General features: G+C 39.7%; 1 protein-coding gene and 1 pseudogene across 4 annotated transcripts in view; one reads left to right on the top strand and one right to left on the bottom strand.

Moving 5' to 3' along the window:
* The window catches only part of TEX11 (testis expressed 11), a 397,485-nt gene that overhangs the window by 31,483 nt on the left and 340,904 nt on the right, over positions 1–25,098 (top strand). For all 4 annotated transcript variants that reach the window (XM_017029649.1, XM_011530994.2, NM_031276.3 and 1 more), the window contains 4 exons: positions 3,922–4,006; positions 16,293–16,372; positions 23,901–23,981; positions 24,076–24,195. In XM_017029649.1, coding sequence (XP_016885138.1) covers positions 3,922–4,006; positions 16,293–16,372; positions 23,901–23,981; positions 24,076–24,195 — 366 coding nt within the window. The remainder of the gene's footprint in view (positions 1–3,921; positions 4,007–16,292; positions 16,373–23,900; positions 23,982–24,075; positions 24,196–25,098) is intronic.
* WASHC3P1 (WASHC3 pseudogene 1) lies at positions 19,451–20,087 on the bottom strand (annotated as a pseudogene).

Genomic DNA, 25,098 nt, shown 5'->3' with positions numbered 1-25,098 from the left:
TCTGCCTCCTGGTTTGAAGCAGTTCTCGTGCCTCAGCCACCCAAGTAGCTGGGATTACAGGCAGGCGCCACCACACCTGGCTAATTTTTGTGTTTTTAGTAGAGATGTGTTTTTGCCATGTTGGCCAGGCTGGTTTCGAACTCCTGGCCTCAAGAGATCCACCCACCTCGGCCTCCCAAAGTGCTGGGATTACAGGTGTGAGCCACTGTGCCCGGTGGTAAATCTCTTTTTAGATCATAACCTCTTACTGTACTTAGCTGTTAGTGAAAACAAATTATAAGATTCCAAGAGTTTGGGTTTGTTTGTTTGTTTGTTTGTTTTTTGAGACAGTGTCTTGGTTTGGAGTGCAGTTGCATGATCTCAGCTCACTGCATCCTCGACCTCCTAGGCTCAAGTGATCCCCCTCAGCCCTCCGAGTAGCTGGGACTGCAGGCATGTGCCACCATACCCAGCTAATTTTTTGTATTTTTCATAGAGATGGGGTTTCTCCATGTTGCACAGGCTAGTCTTGAAATCCTGAGCTCAAGCAATCTGCCCTCTTTGGCCTCCCAGTGTTAGAATTACAGGCATGAGCCATAAGAGTTTGGTCTTATTTTTGAAGAAGATCTGCTTGGTTTTGGAAATGCCTTGAATTTATTTTCTTTCTGGAAAGTCTAATCTTCATATTATTTACTTCTGTTTGCAGCATGTATTTACCATGCTTATCATTATACATTTATGTAAACCTAAGACAAAACCTGCCACATCTTAGGTGCTTAATATATATGTGTTGAATAAATATGTTTTCTGATTATGAAGTATTTACAGTCATAGTTTATCTTATCCTTTCTAACACAATATGAGAAAATACAAGAATTTATTTAAAATCATAAAGTAACATAACTTCACAGAAAGTTTAAAAAAATGGATACAAAATCACATGCAAACACACCACTTCAATATAACTACTATTATTTTAATGTATTTTCTTTAATAGTTTTACAGTTTAAATGTTATTTAGCTATAATTATACTGTACATGTAATATTTCTGGCATCATAAAAGGCAATTTGCTCTGTTTTCCCAACATTTTAAAATAAACATTTTCAAACAGAAAAGTTGAAAGAATATTACACTGGACACCTATGTAACAGCCACTTACATTCTACAGTTGTAAACATTTTACCATATTCGCTTCATCACATATACATTTGTCCATTAGCGCATCTTATTTTTTGGGTGCATTTTAAAATGAGTTGCTGACAACAGTACACTTCCCCCCTAAATGTTTTAGTGTGCATATCATTAACTAGAATCCAATATTTTATTGAAGTTCTTCTTTGGGGTAAGATTTGCATATGTACAACTTTCTGTACATACAGTTTTGTATCTTTCCTTCTTTCCTTTTTCACTAGACATGTAATAAATATTTTCCCGTGTTAAAAACATAGTTTTCATGACCACTATTTTATTTTATTTTTGTTTTTATTTTTATTTTTTTGAGGCAGAGTCTCGCTCTGTCGCCCAGGCTGGAGTGCAGTGGCACGATCTCGGCTCACTGCAACCTCCACCTCTCAGGTTTAAGTGATTCTTCTGCCTCAGCCTCCCGAGTAGCTGAGACTACAGGTGTGCACCACCACACCTGGCTATTTTTTTTTTTTTTTTTGTATTTTTAGTAGAGACGGGGTTTCACCAAGTTGGCCAGGCTGGTCTCGAACTCTTGACCTCAAGTGATCCACCTGCCTCGGCCTCCCAGAGTGCTGGGATTACAGGCGTGAGCCACCATGTCTGGCCATGACCACTATTTTAAATGGATGAATACTATTCCATCAAGGAAGGTTATCATAATTCACCTATTTCTTTATTATTGGATATTTATATTGTTTCTCATATTGTTCCTCATTTTTCACTATTATAAATAATGATATGAAGAACACTATTAAGTGCAAAGATTATCCCCCCACACATTTTCATCTATTTCTTAGGATAAAGTCTCAAAAGTGCAACTATTGGGACAAAAGATATGAACTTTATTTGTTTATTTATTTATTTACTCATTTATTTATTTTTATTGAGACAGAGTCTCGCTCTGTCTCGCCCAGGCTGGAGTACAGTGGCATGATCTTGGCTCACTGCAACCTCCGCCTCCTGGGGTCAAGTGATTCTCATGCCTCAGCCTCCCGAGTAGCTGGGATTACAGGCACCTGCCACCACGCACGACTAATTTTTGTATATTTTAGTAGAGACAGGGTTTGACCATGTTGGCCAGGCTGGTCTCGAACACCTGACCTCAGGCAATCCGACCGCCTCGGCCTCCCAAAGTGCTGGGATTACAGGTGTGAGCCACCGCACCCAGGCGAACATTTTTATATGTTGCCAAATTGCTTTCCAAAATGCCAAACAAGTAGCTTCTTTAAGCTATTTAGTCTGGATGCTCATTTCCCATCATAATATGTCAAATCATTTGTTCTTCTGGGTAATTTGGAGTGCAGTTATTAACTCCATGTGTTTTTAGTGATACAAATGAAATAATACTTAGTATGAAAGTCAGCCGGGTGTGGTGGCTCATGCCTGTAATCCCAGCACTTTGGGAGGTTGAGGCGGGCGGATCACCTGAGGTCAGGAGTTCGAGACCAGTCTGGCCTACATGGTGAAACCCCATCTCAAGTAAAAATACAAAAATTAGCCAGGCATTATGGTGGGTGCCTGTAATCCCAGCTACTTGGGAGGCTGAGGTGGGAGAATCACTTGAACCCGGGAGGTGGTGGTTGCAGTGAGCCGAGATCACGCCATTGCACTCCAGCTTGGGCAACAAAATGAGACTCTGTCTCCAAAAAAAAAAAAAAAAAAAAAAAGGAAGTCATCATTTGATCAACTGTGGCATTGAGGATACTATGTGATGGAGATGGACATGATAATTAGCCCCAGAATAATAAGTGAAATGACAACCATGCTGCATTAGGCTGTTTGCATTGCTATAAAGGAAATACCTGAGGCTGGGTAATTGATAAGGAAAAGAAGTTTATTTGGCTCATGGTTCTGCAGATCATATAAGAAGCATGGCACTGGCATCTGCTTCCAGTGAGGGCCTCTGGAAGTTTCCAATCATGTTGGAAGGGGAAAGGGAGCAGGCATCACATGATGAGAGAGGAGGAAAGAGAAAGGAGGAGGTACCAGGCTCTTTTTTAAGAATCAGATCTTGCAGTAACTAATAGACTGAGAACTCACTCATTACTGTGAGGACAGCACCAAGACAATGAGGGATCCATCCCCGTGACCCAAGTACCTCCCATCAGCCCCACATCCAACATTGGGGATCAAATTTTGATATGAGATTCTCAGGGGAAAAATATCCAAACTATATCACATGTTAAATAAATCATCTGTTTAAACTGAAGCTCATCAGAAAAATGTGAAATGGTAAGTGAGAAAAGTGGCATGGAAGAAAAGACTTAAAACTAACATACATTTTGTACCACTGCTGTGCATAAATTGGGTTAAAGAAAAGAAATAAAACAAAGAATAAATGATACAAAGTAATATAATTAATTGCCAAATTGTATACAACTTAATGAATATATGAATTCAAAGAAGAAAGAACAACGTAGACTGTAATGGTTGCTGAAAGCTTCATTTATGTTGTTGGTGAGACTGAAATGGATTTGAGTTACATAAAAACAAAGGGAGGAGGTATATCAGGTGAAGGTATATCAATAGTATGAATAAAGACACATTGATAGGAATGAACAAGTTGTGTTCAGGAAATAGATAATTACTCTAACAGTGGGTAAGTTTTTGCGGGGAGAGGTAGAATGCGACTAGATTATGGAGGGCCTGGAAATGACCCACAATAGTTACATAAGCATACAACATTCAAGAATGAAAATACCGTTGGAGGTGGCCAGTATTTTAACTAACTAAGGAAATGTTTCTCTTTGACCAGATTGAAGAAATGGCAGTAAACCTATGGAACTGGGCACTTACCATAGGAGGAGGTTGGCTTGTAAATGAAGAGCAGAAAATTAGATGTATGTATACATATTGTGACATGTATTATGAGGCGTGTTCTTACTATATATTGGGTAGTATTCCTGCAGTTTAAATAATGTTTTGACCCATTCTTAGATAGAGATTTGTTAAAAGACAAACAAAACAACCCAGGAACAATGGTTTCTCAAGCAAATGGCCTCCCTCAGTTTTATGATTTTTTTTTCAGAGGTTAGCTCCTTATTAACAAACGTTTAAAGATATCACTGCAAGAAATAGTCAGGAGGTGAACAACAAAGATGATTAAAAGGTGGGACAGTGAGAACTTAAAGAAATGTTAAAGGACATGGATTATTTCTCATGGAGATGATCAAAATCTTCAGGGTTCTGAAGGACCATCAAATAGTAGTTTCCCCTCTATTAATAATAGAATAAGTGTTGCCATATGACATATTCAGATTTTAAAAAGTGTAAAGAATAGTTTCCTCAGGAGATGGATTGATAAACATTGGAATGAGTTACTGAGAAACTATAGAAATGATTTCTACCTGTGAGAGCAAACAACAAGAACAAAAAAACCAAAAATCTCAAACTAAACTCATCTTCTTGGATGCTTTGAATGTGGTCCACTGTCTGGCAATGTTCTAGTGCTTTAGCTAAATGGGCAAAGTCTAGTGTGCTGACAGTTAGTGATTTTCAACAGGCATAGTGACAGCAAATGCATTTATGGGAAGTATATTGCCAATTATAAAGGATACATTGAAGTAACATACCAAAGGGTGAACCTCTGGACTGCTTGACATTGTAAAGACAAATGACTTTTGTCTGTATGCAACAAATATAATTTACTACTAACTATTTATCTTTGTGAATATGAACAAAACTGTATACAACTTCCGTGTAGATATAGGGTAATTGTGCTTAATATAATCAAGAATATACTTGCTCATGAGTCCACTCTATTAGCATGTTTAGAGAACAGTTCTAGCTCTTTAACTCTTAGATAAATTGATATCATTGCTCCCAGGAGCCTCAGATCCTGTAGTTATGGGGAGGTAAGAGCTAGGAATTTATCAGTGGAAGAAACTTAGTACACAGGTGAACCGTGTGATATTAAAGTGCGTTAATTCTTAACTCCTACCATTCTGCATATGAGGAAGTATTGCTTTAGCTGTTTACTGCTTATCAGATAGGGATATGGTAGATGAAGTGGGTGTCACAGCCTCTTCCCATGTACTGTCTCATTTCTTTTTTTCTTTTTCTTTTTTTTTTTTAAGGGACGGCAAGGGGTGAGGGCAGAACCACACAGTGTTGATGGGGTTAGGGCCAGGGAGATGAGAGAGCTAGGGAAGAGAAAAGAGACTGTTAAAAAAAAGGGGGGGTGCTGTAAGAGGAAAAATACTAAATGGGTGGGGAAAGTGGAGAAAAAAGGGGGAAGCAAGAAGAGGAGAAAGGCAAGAGGGGAGAGAAGAAGAGGGAAAAGCAAGAGATAAGAGAAGAAAAGGGAAGGATAAGAGAGGGGACAAGAGACAGTAAAGAAGAGAGTCCCATGTACTGTCTCATTTCACGTAGCAGTTCTTAATCAGATATTTGGGTGCTTGTTATGTGTATCATACTTTTTTTGATACAGTGGAGAATAGATTATCAGCGCAGGAGGCCTCCAAATTAAAATAATTTTGTTTCAAAAATATGTTTATTGGAATATATTTTGTTTCCTTAAAAACAAATTTAGTGTGCCTGGATGTGATGAAATAAGTCATGAAGATTTATAAGCTATAATTCTTTATTATTTGGAGGAATTATGGAACAATGAACAGGAAAGTCAGAAGTAGATGAATGACTTGTAAGTTTTAGTTTTAGACCTGTTGCATTTGAGATGACAATAAGGTTGGAGATGTGAGACTAGAGCTTATGAGAAAGGTCAGGACTGAGCCTACAGATTTGGCAATGATTTACACAGAGGTGGTAGTTGAAGACAGAAGAGTAGTTGAGTTCTTTGAGGAAAAAAATAAAGAGCAGTGGTTCTTAAATATTGGTATAAATCAGAATCAGGCTGGTAGCGGTGGCTCACGCCTATAATCCCAGCACTTTGGGAGGCCTAGGTGAGTGGATCACCTGAGATCAGGAGTTCAAGACCAGCCTGGCCAACGTAGTGAAACCCCGTCTCTATTAAAAATACAAAAATTAGTCGGGCATGGTGGTGTGTGCTTGTAATCCCAGCTACTTGGGAGGCTGAAGCAGGAGAATCGCTTGAACCCTGGAGGTGGAGGTTGCAGTGAGCTGAGATCGCACCATTGCACTCCATCCTGGGCGACAAGAGTGAAACTCCGTCCCTCCCCCTCCCCCCAAAAAATCAGAATCACCTGTGAAGCCTGTGAAAAATACAGATGCCCAGGCCCTTCCATTGGTGGTTTTGATTCATTTAGGTTCAGGATGAAACCTGGGCATGTCTATAATTTGAAAAAATGTCTCAGGAATTCTCATGCACACCAAAATTTAAGAATCAGTGGTATTGAGAGAAGAACAAAGTAGTGAGATTTTAACTCTGAATCTACCAGCTTCAAAGTTAAAATAAAAAGAATAGGGATAGATGACCAAAAGGAACAGTCAAAAAATTCTACAGGAGATTGGCCAGGCACAGTGGCTCACGCCTGTAATCCCAGCACTTTGGGAGGCTGAAGCAGGTGGATCACGAGGTCAGGAGATTGAGACCATCCTGACTAACACAGTGAAACTCCGTCTCTACTAAAAATATGAAAAATTAGCCATGCGTGGTGGTGGGCTCCTGTGGTCCCAGCTGCTCAGGAGGCCGAGGCAGGAGAATGGCGTGAACCCAGGAGGCAGAGCTTGCAGCGAGCCGAGATTGCGCCACTGCACTCCAGCCTGGGCAACAGAGCAAGACTCCCTCTCATAAAAACAAAAAAAAATTCTACAGGATATTTATTAGTCATTTATTGAGTGCATTCTCCGTATAGGGTTCTCGTACCATGTTATGGTACATAGTAAATGAAAGGGAAAAGGTAAGATACCAGAACAAAGATACCAATCTTAAATTATGCTTGAGGATTTCGGAAGGAATAGTTTAAAGCTAGATAAACAATAATTTAAAAATTTATAAATGTCAGAGGGTATAACCCCGTGTTTATCTAAAGTCAATTCAATTTCAGGCTGTGGGTAGAGCAGAGTAAAGCGGATGTTCAAAGGTATCAGTCACCAATTATGTAACCAAGATGTTTATAATATAGAGAGGTCAAGAACAGGCTGGTGAGAAGACAAGATGGAGCAACAGCAACAAAGAAAACATCTTTATATGGAAGTAGCATTCTGTTTCAGCCTCAGCTGCCTTTGGCTTGAAGACTTATTGGTGATAACTATAAACAGCTGGATTATGAATGTCAGGATTGGAGCAGACAAAGTTCTTAGACTAAGATATTTCCCACACAAGGACCAGGATATTTCAGGCCAAGAGGGTAATTTTTTTTTTTTTGAGACAGGATCTGGCTCTGTCACCCAGGTTGGAGTGCAGTGGTGCAATATTGACTCACTGCAACCCCTGCCTCCTGGGCTCAGGTCAACCTCCTACCTCAGCTTCCCGAGTAGCTGGGACTACAAGGCATGTGGCATCACACCTTACTAATTTTTGTATTTTTTGTAGATACAGGTTTTGCCATGTTGCTTAGGCTGGTCTGAAACTCCAAGGGAGTAATATTTTTCAAAAAGGTTATGGCCATTTTGAAATGTTGCTATGAAGTTAAGGAAGGTGATCTTTGGGAGTGCAGTTTTAGTAAAGTGGTAAGGATGCAAAACAGATTGTGGACATTTAAGGAGATGAGTGGGTAGCAAGACAGTAGAGCTAGTAGACAGACTTTTCAATTCAAGAAGCTTGTCAATCAAAGGAAGAGGAGAAATGGGATGCAAGCTTGAAGCATAGTGGGGTTAGTTGATTTTTTTTTTCAAGGTAAGGAGATGGGTACGTTTGAAGGTAGAGAAGAAGGAATAAGTTGAGAGGGAGGTACTCAAGATACTTTTAGAAAGGGGCAATAATTGAGAGATCAGAGTCTTTGAAAATACTGAAGGATTAGCAAACTTTGGAACTTTGGAATAAAGAAAGGAAACATTTTCTTTTTCTTTTCTTTATTTTATTTTGTTTTATTTTATTTTATTTTATTTTATTTTATTTTATTTTATTTTATTTTATTTTATTTTATTTTATTTTATTTTATTTTACTTTAAGTTCTGGGATATGTGTGCAGAACACGCAGGCTTGTTACATAGGTATACATGTGCCATGGTGATTTGCTGCACCTATCAACCTGTCATCTAGGTTTTAAGCCCCGCATGCATTAGGTATGCGTCCTAATGCTCTCCCTCCCTTTGCCCCCACCCGCTGACAGGCCCGGGTATGTGATGTTCCCCTCCCTTGTCCATGTGTTCTCATTGTTCAACTCCCACTTATGAGTGAGAACATTTAGTGTTTGGTTTTCTGTTCCTGTGTTAGTTTGCTGACAGTGATGGTTTCCAGTTTCATCCATGTCCCCGCAAAGGACATGCACTCATTCTTTTGTATGTCTGCATAGTATTCCATGGTGTATATGTGCCACATTTTCTTTATCCAGTCTATCATTGATGAGCATTTGGGTTGGTTCCAAGTCTTTGCTATTGTAAATAGTGCTGCAATAAACATGCGTGTGCCTGTGTCTTTATAGAAGAATGATTTATAATCCTTTGGGTGTATACTCAGTAATGGGATTGCTGGGTCAAAATGGTATTTCTGGTTCTAGAAACCAGAGGAATCGCCACATTGTCTTCTACAATGGTTGAACTAATTTACACTCCCACCAACAGTGTAAAAGCGTTCCTATTTCTCCGCATCCTCACCAGCATCTCTTGTTTCTGACTTTTTAATGATCAGCATTCTAACTGGAGTGAGATGGTACCTCATTGTGGTTTTCATTTGCATTTCTCTAATGACCAGTGATGATGAGCTTTTTTAATATGTTTTTTTGGCCTCAAAAATGTCTTCTTTTGAGAAGTGGCTGTTCATATCCTTCGCCTACTTTTTGATGGGGTTGTTTGTTTTTTTCTTGTAAATTTGTTTAAGTTCCTTGTAGATTCTGGATATTAGACCTTTGTCAGACGGATAGATGGCAAAAATTTTCTCCCATTCTGTAGGTTGCCTGTTCACCCTGACGATAGTTTCTTTTCCTGTGCAGAAGCTCTTTAGTTTAATTAGATCCCATTTTTCAATTTTGGCTTTTGCTGCAATTGCTTTTGGTGTTTTAGTCATGAAGTCTTTGCCCATGCCCATGTCTTGAATGGTATTGCCTACATTTTCTTCTAGGGTTTTTATGGTTTTAGGTCTTATGTTTAAGTCTTTAATCCATGTTGAGTTAATTTTTTTATAAGGTGTAAGGAAAGAATCCAGTTTCTGTTTTCTGCATATGGCTAGCCAGTTTTCCCAACACATTTATTAAATAGGGAATCCTTCCCCCATTGCTTTTTTTTTGTCAAGTTTGTTGAAGATCGAATGGTTGTAGATGGGTGGTGTTATTTCTGAAGCCTCTGTTCTGTTCCATTGGTGTATATATATTTGTTTTGGTACCAGTATCATGCTGTTTTGGTTACTGTAGCCTTGTAGTATAGTTTGAAGTCAGGTAGTGTGATGCCTCCAGTTTTGTTCTTTTTGCTTAGGATTGTCTTGGCTACACGGGCTCTTTTTTGGTTCCATATGAAATTTAAAGTAGTTTTTTCTAGTTCTGTGAAGAAAGTCAGTGGTAGCTTGATGGGAATAGCATTGAATCTATAAATTACTTTGGGCAGTATGGCCATTTTCATGATATTAATCTTTCCTATCCATGAGCATGGAATTTTTTTCCATTTGTTTGTGTCCTCTCTTATTTCCTTGAGCAGTGGTTTGTAGTTCTCCTTGAAGAGATCCTTCACATTCCTTGTAAGTTGCATTCCTAGGTATTTTATTCTCTGTGTAGCAGTTGTGAATGGGAGTTCACTCATGATTTGGCTGTCTGCTTGTCTATTATTGGTGTATGGGAATGCTTGTGATTTTTACATATTGATTTTGTATCCTGAGACTTTGCTGAAGTTGCTTATCAGCTTAAGGAGTTTTTGGGCTGGGATGATGGTATTGTCTAAATATACAATTATGTCATCTGCAAACACAGACAATTTGACTTCCACTCTTCCTAATTGAATACGCTTTATTTCTTTCTCTTGCCTGATTGCCCTGGCCAGAACTTTCAATACTGTGTTGAATGGGAGTAGTGAGAGAGGGCATCCTTGTCTTGTGCCAGTTTTCCACAGGAAAGCTTCCAGCTTTTGCCCATTCAGTATGATATTGGCTATGGGTTTGTCATAAATAGCTCTTATTATTTTGAGATATGAGAGTTTTTAGCATGAAATGGTTTTGAATTTTATTGAAGGCCTTTTCTGCATCTATTGAGATAATCATGTGGTTTTTGTCATTGGTTCTGTTTATGCGACGGATTACGTTTACTGATTTGCCTATGTTGAACCAGCCTTGCATCCCAGGGATGAAGCTGACTTGATCGTGGTAGATAAGCTTTTTGATGTGCTGCTGGATTCGATTTGCCAGTATTTTATTGAGGATTTTCGCATTGATGTTCATCAGGGATATTGGCCTGAAATTTTCTTTTCTGTTGTGTCTCTGCCAGGTTTTGGTATCAGGATGATGCTGGCCTCATAAAATCAGTTAGGGAGGAGTCCCTTTTTTTCTATTGATTGGAATAGTTTCAGAAGGAATGGTACCAGCCCCTCTTTGTACCTCTGGTAGGATTCAGCTGTGAATCTGTCTGGTCCTGGGATTTTTTTTTTTTTTTGGTTGGTAGGCTATTAATTACTGTCTCAATTTCAGAACTTGTTAGTGGTCTATTCAGGGATTCGACATCTTCTGGTTTTGTCTTGGGAGAGTGTATGCATCCAGGAATTTATCCATTTCTTCTAGATTTTCTAGTTTATTTGTGTATAGGTGTTTATAGTATTCTCTGATGGTAGTCTGTATTTCTGTGGGATCAGTGGTGATAGCCCCTTTATCATTTTTACTGTCTAATTGATTCTTCTCTCTTTTCTACTTTATTAATCTGGTTAGCGGTGTATCTATTTGCTTAATCTTTTCAGAAAATCAGCTCCTGGATTCATTGATTTTTTTGAAGGGTTTTTTGTGTCTCTATCTCCTTCAGTTCTGCTCTGATCTTAGTTATTTCTTGTCTTCTGGTGGCTTTTGAATTTGTTTGCTCTTGCTTCTCTAGTTCTTTTAATTGTGATGTTCGGGTGTTGATTTCAGATCTTTCCAGCTTTCCGATGTGGGCATTTAGTGCTGTAAATTTCCCACTTAACACTGCTTTAGCTGTGTCCCAGAGATTCTGGTATGTTGTCTCTTTGTTCTCATTGGTTTCAAAGAACTTCACTATTTCTGCCTTAATTTCGTTATTTACCCAGTAGTCATTCAGGAACAGGTTGTTCAATTTCCATGTAGTTGTGCGGTTTTGAGTGAGTTTCTTAATCCTGAGTTCTAATTTGATTGCACTGTGTTCTGAGAGACTGTTTTGATTTCCGTTCTTTTGCATTTGCTGAGGAGTGTTTTACTTCCAATTATGTGGTCGATTTTAGAATAAGTGCTATATGGTGCTGAGAAGAATGTATATTCTGTTGATTTGAGGTGGAGAGTTCTGTAGATGTCTATTAGGTCTGCTTTCTCCAGAGCTGAGTTCAAGTCCTGAATATCCTTGTTAATTTTCTGTCTCGTTGATCTGTCTAATATTGACAGTGGGGTGTTAAAATCTCCCGCTATTATTGTGTGGGAGTTTAAGTCTCTTTGTAGGTCTCTAAGAACTTGCTTTATGAATCTGGGTGCCCCTGTATTGGGTGCATATATATTTAGGATAGTTAGCTCTTCTTGTTGAATTGATCCCTTTACCATTATGTAATGCCCTTCTTTGTCTCTTTTGATCTTTGTTGGTTTAAAGTGTGTTTTATCAGACTAGGATTGCAACCCCTGCTTTTTTTGTTTTCCATTTGCTTGGTAGATCTTCCTCCATCCGTTTATTTTGAGCCTATGTGTGTCTCTGTGTGTGAGATGGTTCTCCTGAATACAGCACACTGATGGGTCTTGACTCGTTATCCAATTTGCCGGTCTGTGTCTTTTAATTGGAGCATTTAGCCCATTTACATTTAAGGTTAATATTGTTATGTGTGAATTTCATCCTGTCATCATGATGCTAGCTGGTTATTTTGCTCGTTAATTGATGCAGTTTCTTCATAGTGCCATTGGTCTTTATATTTTGGTATGTTTTTGCCGCGGCTGTTACCGGTTTTTTCTTTCCATATTTAGTGCTTCCTTCAGGAGCTCTTGTAAGGCAGGCCTGGTGGTCACAAAATCCAACAGCATTTGCTTGTTTGGAAATCTCTTTTGCTCGTGAAGCTTATTTTGGCTGGATATGAAATTCTGGGTTGAAAATTCTTTTCTTTTCTTTTTTTTTTTTTTTTTTGAGATGGCATCTCGCTCTGTCACCCAGGCTGGAGTGCAGTGGCATGATCTCGGCTCACTGCAACCCCTGCCTCCCGGGTTTGAGTGATTCTTCTGCCTCAGCCTCCCGAGTAGCTGAGACTACAGGTGTGTGCCACCATGCCCAGCTAATTTTTTTTTTTGTATTTTTAGTATAGAAAGGGTTTCACTGTATTCGCCAGGCTGGTCTCGAACTCCTGACCTTGTGATCCGCCCACCTCGGCCTCCCAAAGTGCTGGGATTACAGGTGTGAGCCACTGCACCCCGCTGAAAATTCTTTTCTTTAAAAATGTTGAATATTGGCCCCCACTGTCTTCTGGCTTGTAGGATTTCTGCAGAGAGATCCACTGTTATTCTGATGGGCTTCCCTTTGTGGGTAACCTGACCTTTCTCTCTGGCTGCCCTTAATATGTTTTCTTTCATTTCAACCTTGGAGAATCTGATGATTATGTGTCTTGGGGTTGCTCTTCTTGAGGAGTATCTTAGTGGTGTTCTCCATATTTCCTGAAGTTGAATGTTGGCTTGCCTTGCCAGGTTGGGGAAGTTCTCCTGGATAATATCCTGAATTGTGTTTTTCAGCTGGGTTCCATTCTCCCTGTCACTTTCAGGTACACCAATCAATCATACGTTTGGTCTTTTCACATAGTCCCATATTTCTTGGAGGCTTTGTTTGTTCCTTTTCACTCTTTTTTCTCTCATCTTGTCTTCACGCCTTATTTCAGTAAGTTGGTCTTCAACGGTCTTCAATCTCTGACATCCTTTCTTCGCTTGATTGATTTGGCTGTTGATACGTGTGTATGCTTCACGAAGTTCTCCTGCTGTTTTTCAGCTCATCAGTTAATTTATGCTCCTCTCTAAACTGGTTATTCTAGTTAGCAGTTCCTGTAACCTTTTATCAAGGTTCTTAGCTTCCTTGCATTGGGTAGAACATGCTCCTTTAGCTCAGAGGAATTTGTTATACCCACCTTCTGGAGCCTACTTCTGTCAATTTGTCAAACTCATTCTCTGTGCAGTTTTGTGCCCTTGCTGGAGAGGAGTTGCGATCATTTTGAGGGGAAGAGGCATTCTGGTTTTTGGAATTTTCAGCATTTTTGCACTGGTTTTTCCTCATCTTCGTGGATTTATCTACCTTTTTGATCTTTGAGGCTGATGATCTTTGGATGGGGTTTTTGTGTGGGGGTCCTTTTTGTTGATGTTGATGTTGTTGCTTTCCATTTGTTAGTTTTTCTTCTAAGAGTCAGGCCCCTCTTCTGCAGGTCTGCTGCAGTTTGCTGGAGGTCCACTCCAGACCCTGTTCACCTGGTTATCACTAGTGGAGGCTGCAGAACAGCAAAGATTGCTGCCTGCTCCTTCCTCTGGAAACTTTGTCCCAGCGGGGCACCAGCCTAATGCCAGCTGGAGCTTTTCTGTATGAGGTTTTTCTCGACCCCTGTTGGGAGGTCTCTCCCAGTCAGGAGGCACGGGGGTCAGGGACCCACTTGAGGAGGCAGAGTCTGTCCCTTGTCAGAGCTTGAGTGCTGTGCTGGGAGGATCCTCCTTGTTAGGATCAGCTGCTCTCTTCAGAGCCGGCAGGCAGGAAAGTTTAAGTTCACTGAAGCTGTGCCCACAGACGCCCCTTCCCCCAGGTGCTCTCTCCCAGGGTGATGGGAGTTGTATCTATAAGCCCATGACTGGGGCTGCTACCTTTCTTTCAGAGATGCCCTGCCCAGTGAGGAGGAATCTAGAGAGGCAGTCTGGCCACAGCCGCTTTGTCGCACTGTGTTGAGTTCTGCCCAGTCCGAACTTCCCCTCTTCTTTTTTTTTTTTTTTGAGTTGGAGTTGTGTTCTTATTGCCCAGGCTGGAATGCAATGGCATGATCTCAACTCACTGCAACTTCCGCCTCCCAGGTTGAAGAGACTTTCCTGCCTCAGTCTCTCTAGTAGCTGGGATTACAGGTATGCACCACCACTCCCAGCTAATTTTTTTTTTTTTTTTGTATTTTTACTAGAGATGTGGTTACACCATGTTGGTCAGGCTGGTCTTGAACTCCTGAGCTCAGGTGATTTACCCACCTCAGCCTCTTAAAGTGTTGGGGTTACAGGTGTGAGCCACCATGCCCAGCCAAAAAGAAACATTTTCAAAAATTTTCAGAACTGGAAATTCAAGTCAGTATAAATATATGATTAGTAATTATTTTACCAAAAGTGTTTTTTAGAATGAATTAATTTTGTTAAGTGATGAATAAATTTTACACTTTATGATGGGCAATAAAAATCTGACCATTTCAATTACCCTGTAATTTCCGCTAGACAAATCTCTTTTTCAAAGGACTATTAATTAGAAGTGGTGTTAGCATAGGTAGAATGGCTGCTGACATCTAACATAAAGGTGACTAGTTCATTTATTTGTGAAGCTGTTTTTTAAAACTTGAATATGTTTTATGCTGAAATAAACTAGAGAAATAAAGAGGTTATAATTATTCAAACTTCCCTATTTTCAGGGAAAATGAGTTATATAATGAAGTAGTCTGTATCTTCTAAATTATACTTTAAGAACTGTTATGACATCTACAGAAAAGAATATGTTTAGGCCAGGTGTGGTGGCTCACACCTATAATCCCAGCACTTTGGGAGGCTGAGGTTGGGAGGATTGCTTGAGCCCAGGAATTTGAGGCTGCAGTGAGCTATGATCATGCCACTGTATTCTAGCTTGGGTGAGTGACAGAGCGAGACCCCCTCTCTACAGAAAAAAATATATATATATTTAGAAAGTTTCACATTTTAGGAGAGAAATCGAAAACTATTCTGATGTCCAGAGATTTTGTCAGATGTTGAACAGCTTTAGATCAATTGAATTTACAATTATTTTTCTGTTAACATGGTATACACAAGAGCATCATGTGGAATCAGGTATTTTTAGTGAGTCTTTGGGACTTAAGACCTTAAGAAATTAAAATTTAAGTATTAAATATCTCTCTGGGCCGGTTGTGGTGGCTCACACCTGTAATCCCAGCACTTTGGGAAGCCGAGGCTGGTGGATCACCTGAGGTCAGGAGTTCAAGACCAGCCTGGTCAACGTGGTGAGTCCCCGTCTCTACTAAAAATACAAAAATTAGCTGGGCGTGGTGGCGCATGCCTGTAATCCCAGCTACTCGGGAGGCTGAGGCAGGGGAATCACTGGAACCTGGGAGGTGGAGGCTGTAGTGAGCCAAGATCATGCGTCACTGCACTCCATCCTGGGCGACAGAGTGAGACTCCATCTCAAAAATAAATAAATAAATAAATAAATAAATAAATCTCTTACTGAAACATTCAGTAAATGATTCATTTAATAAGTTTTAGGTCATTTACTTTTGAAAATTGATTTTTTAAAAAGTCCTTTACAGGCCGGGCGCAGTGGCTCACGCCTGTAATCCCAGCACTTTGGGAGGCCGAGGCGGGCGGATCACGAGGTCAGGAGATCGAGACCATCCCGGCTAAAACGGTGAAACCCCGTCTCTACTAAAAATACAAAAAATTAGCCGGGCGTAGTGGCGGGCGCCTGTAGTCCCAGCTACTTGGGAGGCTGAGGCAGGAGAATGGCGTGAACCCGGGAGGCGGAGCTTGCAGTGAGCCGAGATCCCGCCACTGCACTCCAGCCTGGGCGACAGAGCGAGACTCCGTCTCAAAAAAAAAAAAAAAAAAGGCCTTTACAATTTTTATTTTTAATAACAACAAAACTGGCTTCCTTCAATTGTCTTTTCTCTTTGGTGTATATAAAAGGAGAATGAATGTTTTGTGTTTATCATTGTCTAATTACTGTTTTGCAGTACATTATGTTGCTTGCAAGTTGCTGAGTATGTGTGAAGCCTCATTTGCCTCAGAACAAAGTATTCAACGACTGATTATGGTAAGTCTTAATTTAGGAGAAAGTGGAGATGAAATGAGATGGTTGTTACTTCTATGAAAATGGTAAAGTTAGTGTGAAACTGGAAGGGGGTTGAATCTTTTAGTGCTATCCTTTTTTGATGGTGTTCCTTTTCAGTGTTCCTTTTATAATGGTATATTTACTACGCTAAAGTTCTCAGAATACTGTAGTAATTACGGTGGTTCAGTGAACCAAATACTGAACTTATAATTCTGGGTTGATGATTTATTTTTTACTTTTCTCATCTCTAACTTGATAGAGTAACTGTTTCTTCATCTAAGGGAATGGTAATACTTAGTTCTAAATGAGTTTTTCAAATGAAAAATTTGAAGCACTAAGTAAATAAGGAAAAGGGTACAGGATTTGAAGTCTCAAGACCTAGGTTAGGTCTGCCGCTTACTAGCTATGTGACATTGGAAGATTACTTAGTTTTCTCTTTTGTAAGATGAAAATAGTAATATCTACCTTAGAGTGTTATAGAGTTAAAATTAGAGTTTTTGTGAAAAATGCTTTGTAAACTATAAAATATATGTGTAAATACATAGTGGTAGAATTTGTCCATGTAAAATGCTATGACAACAGTCTGATAAATCCTGTATCATATATAATATGATAAAACTGAGTTGAATGCAGGGTTCACCTTGTGTGTTTTCCTTCTTTCAAAGATTGTAGCCACTCCAATGCCTTCACACAGTTATATTTTGTCCAGCTTTTAGGGTTGTTTAGAGTGGGACAGTCAGTTTGAATTGAGCTATTCCATCATGGCTGAAAGTGGAAGTCTTCCTCTTGCATTTCTGTTATTTAAAAGATTTTTTCCTTATAATTTTTATTTTGAGAGGGAGTCACCCTGGCTGGAATGCAGTGGTGTGATCTGGGCTCGCTGCAACCTCCATCTCCTGGGTTCAAGCAATTCTCCTGCCTCAGCCTCCTGAGTAGCTGGGATTACAGGCATGCGCCACCACACCTAGCTAATTTTTGTATTTTTAGTAGAGACAGGGTTTCACCATGTTGGTCAGGCTGGTCTTGAACTCCTGATCTCAGGTGATCTGCTCACCTTGGCCTCCCAAAGTGCTGGGATTACAGGCATGAGCCACTGCGCCTGGCCTAAAAGATTAATTTTTTAAACATTTATTTCCACCCCCCAAAATACAAATGTATGTTTATGTAAAATTAAATTGTTCAGAAAAGTAATTAAAGTAATAAAAAGTGATTTTCTGCTCCATCTATCTGTTCTCTCTTTTTTTTTTTTTTTTTTTTTGGACAGGATCTCACTCTGTTGCCCAGGCTGGAGTGCAGTGGTGTGTTCTCGGCTCACTGCAGCCTCCACCTCTCAGGTTCAAGCAGTTCTCCTGCCTCAGCTTCCCGAGTAACTGGGATTACAGGTGTTTGCCACCATGCCCAGCTAATTTTTTTTTTTTTTTTAAGTAGAGACAGGGTTTCACCATGTTGGCCAGGCTGGTCTTGAACTCCTGACCTCAAGTGATCCACCCGCCCCGGCCTCCCAAAGTGCTGGGATTACAGGAGTGAGCCACCACACCCAGCCCTATCTGTTCTCTTGCTCCTTAGAGGCAAATACATTTTTTTAGTGGAAAAATATTTTTCCCAGTGTTTTAAAATATTTTATTATGTAAAAAAGCTCAAACATATATAAAAAAGGTAAGACAGTACAATGATTCCCTCCATTTACCCATCACTCAGTTAGAGTAATCATCAACTCATGGCCACTCTTGTTTCTTCTATATCTCCTCAAATAGCAAACTCCTGGCCCCACTGGATTATTTTTATTATTTTTTATTTTTTTGAGATAGAGTCTCGCTCTGTCACTCAGGCTGGAGTGCAGTGGCACGATCTCAGCTCACTGTAACCCCTGCGTCCTGGGTTCAAGTGATTCTCCTGCCTCAGCCTCCCGAGTAGCTGGAATTACAGGCGCCCACCACCACACCCAGCTAATTTTTGTATTTTTAGTAGAGATGGGGTTTCACCATGTTGGCCAGGCTGGTCACGAACTCCTGAGCTCAGGTGATCCGCCCACCTTGGCTTCCCAAAGTTCTGGGATTACAGGCATGAGCCACCGCGCCTGGCCAACCCACTGGATTATTTTCAAGCAAATTCAACATGTATAATTTTGCCCATAAATATTTCAGTGTGTGTTTCTAAAAGACAATGTATTTTTTTTCAGCTTGTAAATGCTTAATTTTTTTAAACATAGAGGATGCTTGGTGGTGTATATGTGGCCATTTGATGTTTTTATGACTAAGAGAGTTCAATCTCTTATAGAATGTAAATGTACCCCTACACATTTATTTATTTATTTATTTTCTATTTTTTCCATAAATTATTGGGGTACAGGTAGTATTTGGTTATGTAAGTTCTTCTTCTTCTTTTTTTTTTTTTCTTGAGATGGAGTCTCACTCTGTCGCCCAGGCTGGAGTGCAGTGGCATGATCTTGGCTCACTGCAACCTCTGCCACCTGGGTTCAAGCAATTCTCCTGCCTCAGCCTCCTGAGAAGCTGGGATTACAGGCCACTGCACCCGGCTAATTTTTGTATTTTTAGTAGAGACGGAGTTTTACCATCTTGGCCAGGCTGGTCTTGAACTCCTGACCTCGTGATCTACCTACCTTGGCCTCCCAAAGTGCTGGGATTACAGGTGTGAGCCACTGCATCCGGCCATGAGTAAGTTCTTTAGTGGTGATTTGTGAGATTTTGGTGCACCCATCACCCAAGCAGTATACAAGGCATCGTATTTGTAGTCTTTTATCCCTTGCCCCCCTCCCACTCTTCCCTCCAAATCCCCAAAGTCCATTGTATCATTTTTATGTCTTTGCATCCTCGTAGCTTAGCTCCCACATGTCAGTGAGAACATACGATGTTTGATTTTCCATTCCTGAGTTACTTCACTTAGAATAATAGTCTCCAATCTCATCCAGGTCACTGCAAATTCTGTTAATTCTTTCCTTTTTATGGCTGCATAGTATTCAGTTATATATATATACCACAGTTTTTTTATCCACTTGTTGATTGATGGGCATTTGGGTTGGTTCCACAATTTTGCAATACACATGCACATGTAATTCTTATCAAAATTAAGCTTAGTCACTAAAAGAAGATTCGCTATCTGAACTTTGTTCTGCAGGATTTTCACTTTTGCCATCAGGCACTGGAGCACCTGACCTCTCAAGAAGATCTGGGTCTAGTCCTTCTGATATCATTTTTCTTATTGCCATCACTGGTACACTCACTTGAACCATTTTGAGATATATGACATATCTTGAATCTTTAGCTACAGTTAAGATATTTCCTGCTGATACTTAACTTTCCTGTGGTCCAGAGTCTTAATGTACTGTCCTGCTGTGATTACTCTGAGGTGACTTCAGAATGTGATCCATTTGTGACACTAGTGGCACTTGAAGGAGATACTTCAAATGTGACATCATCTAGGCCTGGTATAGATGACAACTTTGCATCTACAGTATTGAGAATTGTTTCAATTTGCTGGATACCAAGATAAAGGTTTGCCAGTTTCTCCTCACTAAATGTAGAAGAGCGATTGAGGCACTATACAGTGTGTACCACATTTTGGTTTAGAAAAGCCACCATTCTTTTCTGCTGAATAGCTGGCACCTTGATCAAGTCTACGCCTGACTCCCATGAGAGGAAGCCCATCTTTATCCATCTCCTCAGGAGGCAGGAGACCCAGGACTCACCCATGAACTCCTCCCAGATGGGGCCTGCCCAACCCTGTAATCGTGTCCCAGTGCTTCCCCACGTCCCCCAAGACAATGTATTTTTATATTCAACAAACCCAGTTCACTTTACCACACCTGATAAAACCTAACAAAGATTTCCCCAAATCAAATATCTAGTCCTCCCACCCCCTCTCCAATTGGTTTCTTAAAATCAGGACCAAAGATAATCCATACTTTGTATTTTGTTAATATGTCTGTTTTAATGAAACTACATGTTTTCTTCTCTTTTTTTTAAAAAAAAAATCTGTTGAACGGATTTATTTGTTGAAGAAATGAGGTTGTCCTATAGAGTTTTCTAAATTCTGGGTTCTGGTGCTTCTTCATGGTGTCACTTAATAGTCCATCGTTTCCTTTAACCCTTATTTTCTGTAAACTGATAATTAGATCTAGAAGCTTGTTCTGATACAGGTTTGATTTTTGTCAGAATAATTTATAGGCAGTATGTTTCTGAATCCTTGGATTCAACCAATCATGGATTGAAAATATTACCAAAAAAGTCTTAAAAAGATAACAATACAATAAAAAATAATACAAATAAAAATACAGTATAACAACTATTCACATAGCATTTATATTGTATTAAATCATCTAGAGATGATTTATAGTACATGGGAAGATGTGTATAGGTTATATGCAAATATTACACCATTTCATGTAAGAGATTATATAATGTATTTTTATATTTCAAAATATAAAATATTTTAAAATATATGTACAAAATTTATATAAAATATGTGTTTATAAGCAGACAAATATATACTCATATCTCCCCTCATTCCGCCATTTTCTTAGATAAATGGTAACAGTCCATATATACTCTTCTTCACCTGATTTTTTCCCCCTCGTTTAACATTATATCCTAGGGATTACTCCATAGAAATATATAGAGATATTCCTTATTTTTAATAGCTGTATTTCAATTGCTGTATGTACCTTATTATGTTCAACCAGCCTCCCTTGATGGACATTTGGATGCTGCAATGAATTGCCTTGTGCCTATGTCTTTGCCACTTTTAAGGCTATTACTATAACCATTTCTGTTTTCACTCTCATGGTTCCCTCTATGTATCTTAGTCATATGCTTGTATCACTGTATTGGTTTGCTAGGGCTGCCATAACACAATATCACAGGTTGGTTGGCTTAAACAACAGATATTTATTTTCCCACAGTTTTGGAGGCTAGAAGTTCAAGATTAAGGTGTCAGCAAGTTTGATTTCTTCTGAGTACTCTTTCCTTGGCTTGCAGATGTTCGCCTTCTTGCTGTGTCCTCTCACATGGCCTTTCCTCTGTGTGTGCTCATTTTTCGTGCCCATTTGTGTGTCCAAATTTCCTCTGGTTATAAAGATACCAGTCAGATGAGATTAGGGCCCGCCCTAATGGCCTCATTTTAATGCAATCACTTCTTAAAGCCCCTATCTGCAAATACAGTTACATTCTGAGGTGTTGGAGGTTAGGGCTACAGTGTAGGACTTTGAAGGGACATAATTCTGCTTGTAACAATAACTAATTCTTTTTTTTTTTTTTGAGACAGAGTCTCACTCTATCGCCCAAGCTGGAGTGCAGTGGCATGATCTCAGCTCACTACAACCTCCACCTTCTGGGCTCAAGTGATTCTTGTGCCTCAGTCTCCTGAGGAGCTGGGGCTACAGGCATGCACCACCACGCCCAGCTAATTTTTTGTATTTTTAGTAGAGATGGGGTTTTGCCATATTGCCCAGGCTGGTCTCAAACTACTGAGCTCAGGCTTTCCACCCGCCTCGGCCTCCCAAAGTGCTAGGGTTACAGGCGTGAGCCACCATGTCTGGCCAATAACTAATTATTGATTTATCAGCTTTATTTATGATCTATTTATTTGCTATTATGATGGATGAGGATTTATCTCATATTATATCATGTTACCTCCCCATCCCCTCTCAATTTTTGTTAGTTATATTATACTATTTTAAATTTATCTGTTGGCTGTCTTTTAAAACTTAATTATATATATTTTTATATACACACATATAATTTTTTGTATATATTTCAAAAGTATACTTTTTATTGAGACAGGGTCTTGCTCTGTCACCCAGGCTAGAGTGCAATGGCGCGATCTTGGCTCACTGCAACCTTGGCACCCCGGGCTCAAGCAATCCTCTCATCTCAGCCTCCCAAGTAGCTGGGACCACAGGTGTGCACCACCATGCCCAGCTAATTTTTTGTATTTTTAGCAGAGATGGGGGTCTCACCGTATTGCCCAGGCTGGTCTCGAACTCCTGAGCTTAAGAAATTCGTCCACCTCGGCCTCCCAAAATGCTGGGATTACAGGCATGAGCCACGGCGCCTGGCCTAAAATAACATATGCTTTTTTTTTTTTTTGAAACAGGGTCTTGCCTGTTGCCCAGGCTGGAGTGCAGTGGCATGATCATGGCTCACTGCAGCCTTCACCTCCCAGGCTCAAGCAATCTTCCTGCCTCAGCCTCCCTAATAGCTGAGACCACAGGTGTGCACCACCATGCCCAATGAATTTTTAAATTTTTTGTAGAGACAGGGTCTTGCTATGTTATGTTGCTCAGGCCGGTCTTGAATTCCTGGCCTGAAGTCATCCTTTCACCTCAGCCTCACAAACTGCTAGGATTACAGGCGTGAGCCACACCATGCTCAGCCCTAAGTCATATATTTAAACTTTTCTTTCTTTTTTTTTTAAAATCAAATTTGGAGTTTATCTCTTTACTTGCTACTTTGTGAGGATATTTCCATTCTTTCTATCTCTCTTTCCCTTTAACCTTCCACCTTCTGTCACCTCTAACATTTGCATTTTGGGCTTTGTTGATCCCTAATAATGAAAACTGAAAAGGCATGTTATTGATTGTGACTATTATTTAACTCTGTGGATTATAATTTGGTATCTCTGTATGTTTCCATCTGCTAGCTCTCTCAATTCTATTTTCTCAGTTATTCTGTTTGTTGAGTGTGATGTCCTTTCATGGCATTGGTTTCCCTCAATTGTTTGGTAATTCTTGCTCATATTTGATTTGAAATTCTGTGATGATCTTCTATGAATATTGTGTCACACTGTGTACTATAACCTGAATCCAGTGACTGATGAAGAGGTAGGACTGGATGTTTTTCATTAACCTGTGTTGTCAGCCACCTAGAACTCTGTTTCTGTCCAGCCAAAGTAATTGTACTCTCTGTTCCTTTCTGGAGAGGAGGGAGGAAGATACCTTTCTTGGGGAGGCCTATTGCCTGATGTTCCTACTGTTCGCATCCAGGGCTGTTTCCACATTTTGCATTTTTGTGCATGTTGGGATATCTACCAGTTACAATACTGTGAGCTCCTTCAGTGAGACTGGAATATAAAGGTACTTAATAAACATTTGTTGGATTAATCCAAATTTTATTGCAGATGGAATTAAAAACTAGAACCCCAGTAGTCTAATGCTTATCATATGCCTTTCTTCAAGTATGTGAAGCATTAAGTTTTCAGAACTTTCTCTTCCTATCTAAGTTACTTCAACGTTTTCTTTTAATATTTCCTCAGAAGATGTGTTTTTAAGTCTATTAATTTTTGCTATTATTTTTGTCTTTATGACCATTTCTTTTAAATTGTGGAGTTCAAAGTAGAACACAGAACTCTAACAAATGCTAACTGTTGCTTTTTGTTTTCTGTGAGTTATAAGACTGAATATGGACAGAGGATTCAATATTTTCTCCAATATTCCCCCACCAATTTGGGGGAGGTATGAATTTTTAAAAATTATTTTCTAATTTCTCTCTTCTAGATGAATATGAGAATAGGAAAAGAATGGTTGGATGCTGGAAATTTTCTAATCGCTGATGAATGTTTTCAAGCTGCTGTGGCCGTAAGTTACCATTGACTTTTAGCTGAGGCAATTATTAGTAGTAACATCTGTGGTTATTCTCATTGTTACATTGTACTGTGGGTTTATTTTCCAGAGTCTGGAGCAATTATACGTCAAATTAATTCAAAGGAGCTCCCCTGAGGCTGACTTGACCATGGAGAAGATTACTGTTGAGAGTGACCACTTCAGAGTGCTTTCTTACCAAGCAGAGTCAGTAGGTATCGTGGGCACCAGGGTCTTCCAGTGGGGCATTTTCCATATGTAAAAGTAAAAGTGATGATATATAGCCTATTGGAAGAAAGTCAGATGTCACTGGCCTTTTATAGGATATTAATTTGACCTTTTTATCTCTGTTATATCTGAAGGTGATGTTACTAATGCTGATTGGAATCTATGGGGTGGCTAAGGGTGAGAAGACTGATATACAGCTAAACATCATTTTCACCCCCTGCATGTAACATCTGTCATTTATTTATGGCAGCAATCCCTACTTGAAACACCTGTCTCTGTGACTCTCTCTTACATTCACAGTCTGCCTAAAATATTTGCCTGAAAAGAGCCTTCTCATTTGCAGTTGTTCTGAGTTGTCTATTGATGCTTTCTAAAAGTCTGCTGAGATCATACACTGTTTAAAGTTATACTTTACCTCTGTTTATCTTGTGGGTTTCCTCCTTTTGCCATCATACACTTAGGTGTGCATTTGAGCTATGATGAGTTTGCTTTCTGTTATTACGCAATTCTGGAAATGAAAAATCCCCAGCTGGGCATGGTGGCTCGTGCCTGTAATCCCAGCACTTTGGGAGCCTGAAGCGGAAAGATTGCTTGAGCCCAGGAATTGGTGACCAACCTGGGCAGCATAGTAAGACCCCCATCTCTACCAAAAAATAAAAGTGAAAAATTAGCCAGGCTTGGTGGTGTGCACCTGTAGTTCCAGCTACTAGGGAGTCTGAGGCAGAAGGATTCCTTGAACCCAGGTGACAGTGAGCTATGATTGTGCCACTGCACTCCAGCCTGGGTGACAGAGCTAGACTGTGTCTCAAAAAACAAACAAACAAAACAACAATGAAAAAGAAAAGTCCCCTTTTTTATTTTTTGACATATTTACTGAGATATAATT

The sequence above is a fragment of the Homo sapiens genome, chromosome X, assembly GCF_000001405.40.
Source record: "Homo sapiens chromosome X, GRCh38.p14 Primary Assembly".
NCBI lineage: Eukaryota > Metazoa > Chordata > Mammalia > Primates > Hominidae > Homo > Homo sapiens.
Note: the sequence above shows the minus strand (reverse complement) of the source record. Positions and strands in the feature narration are given on the sequence as shown.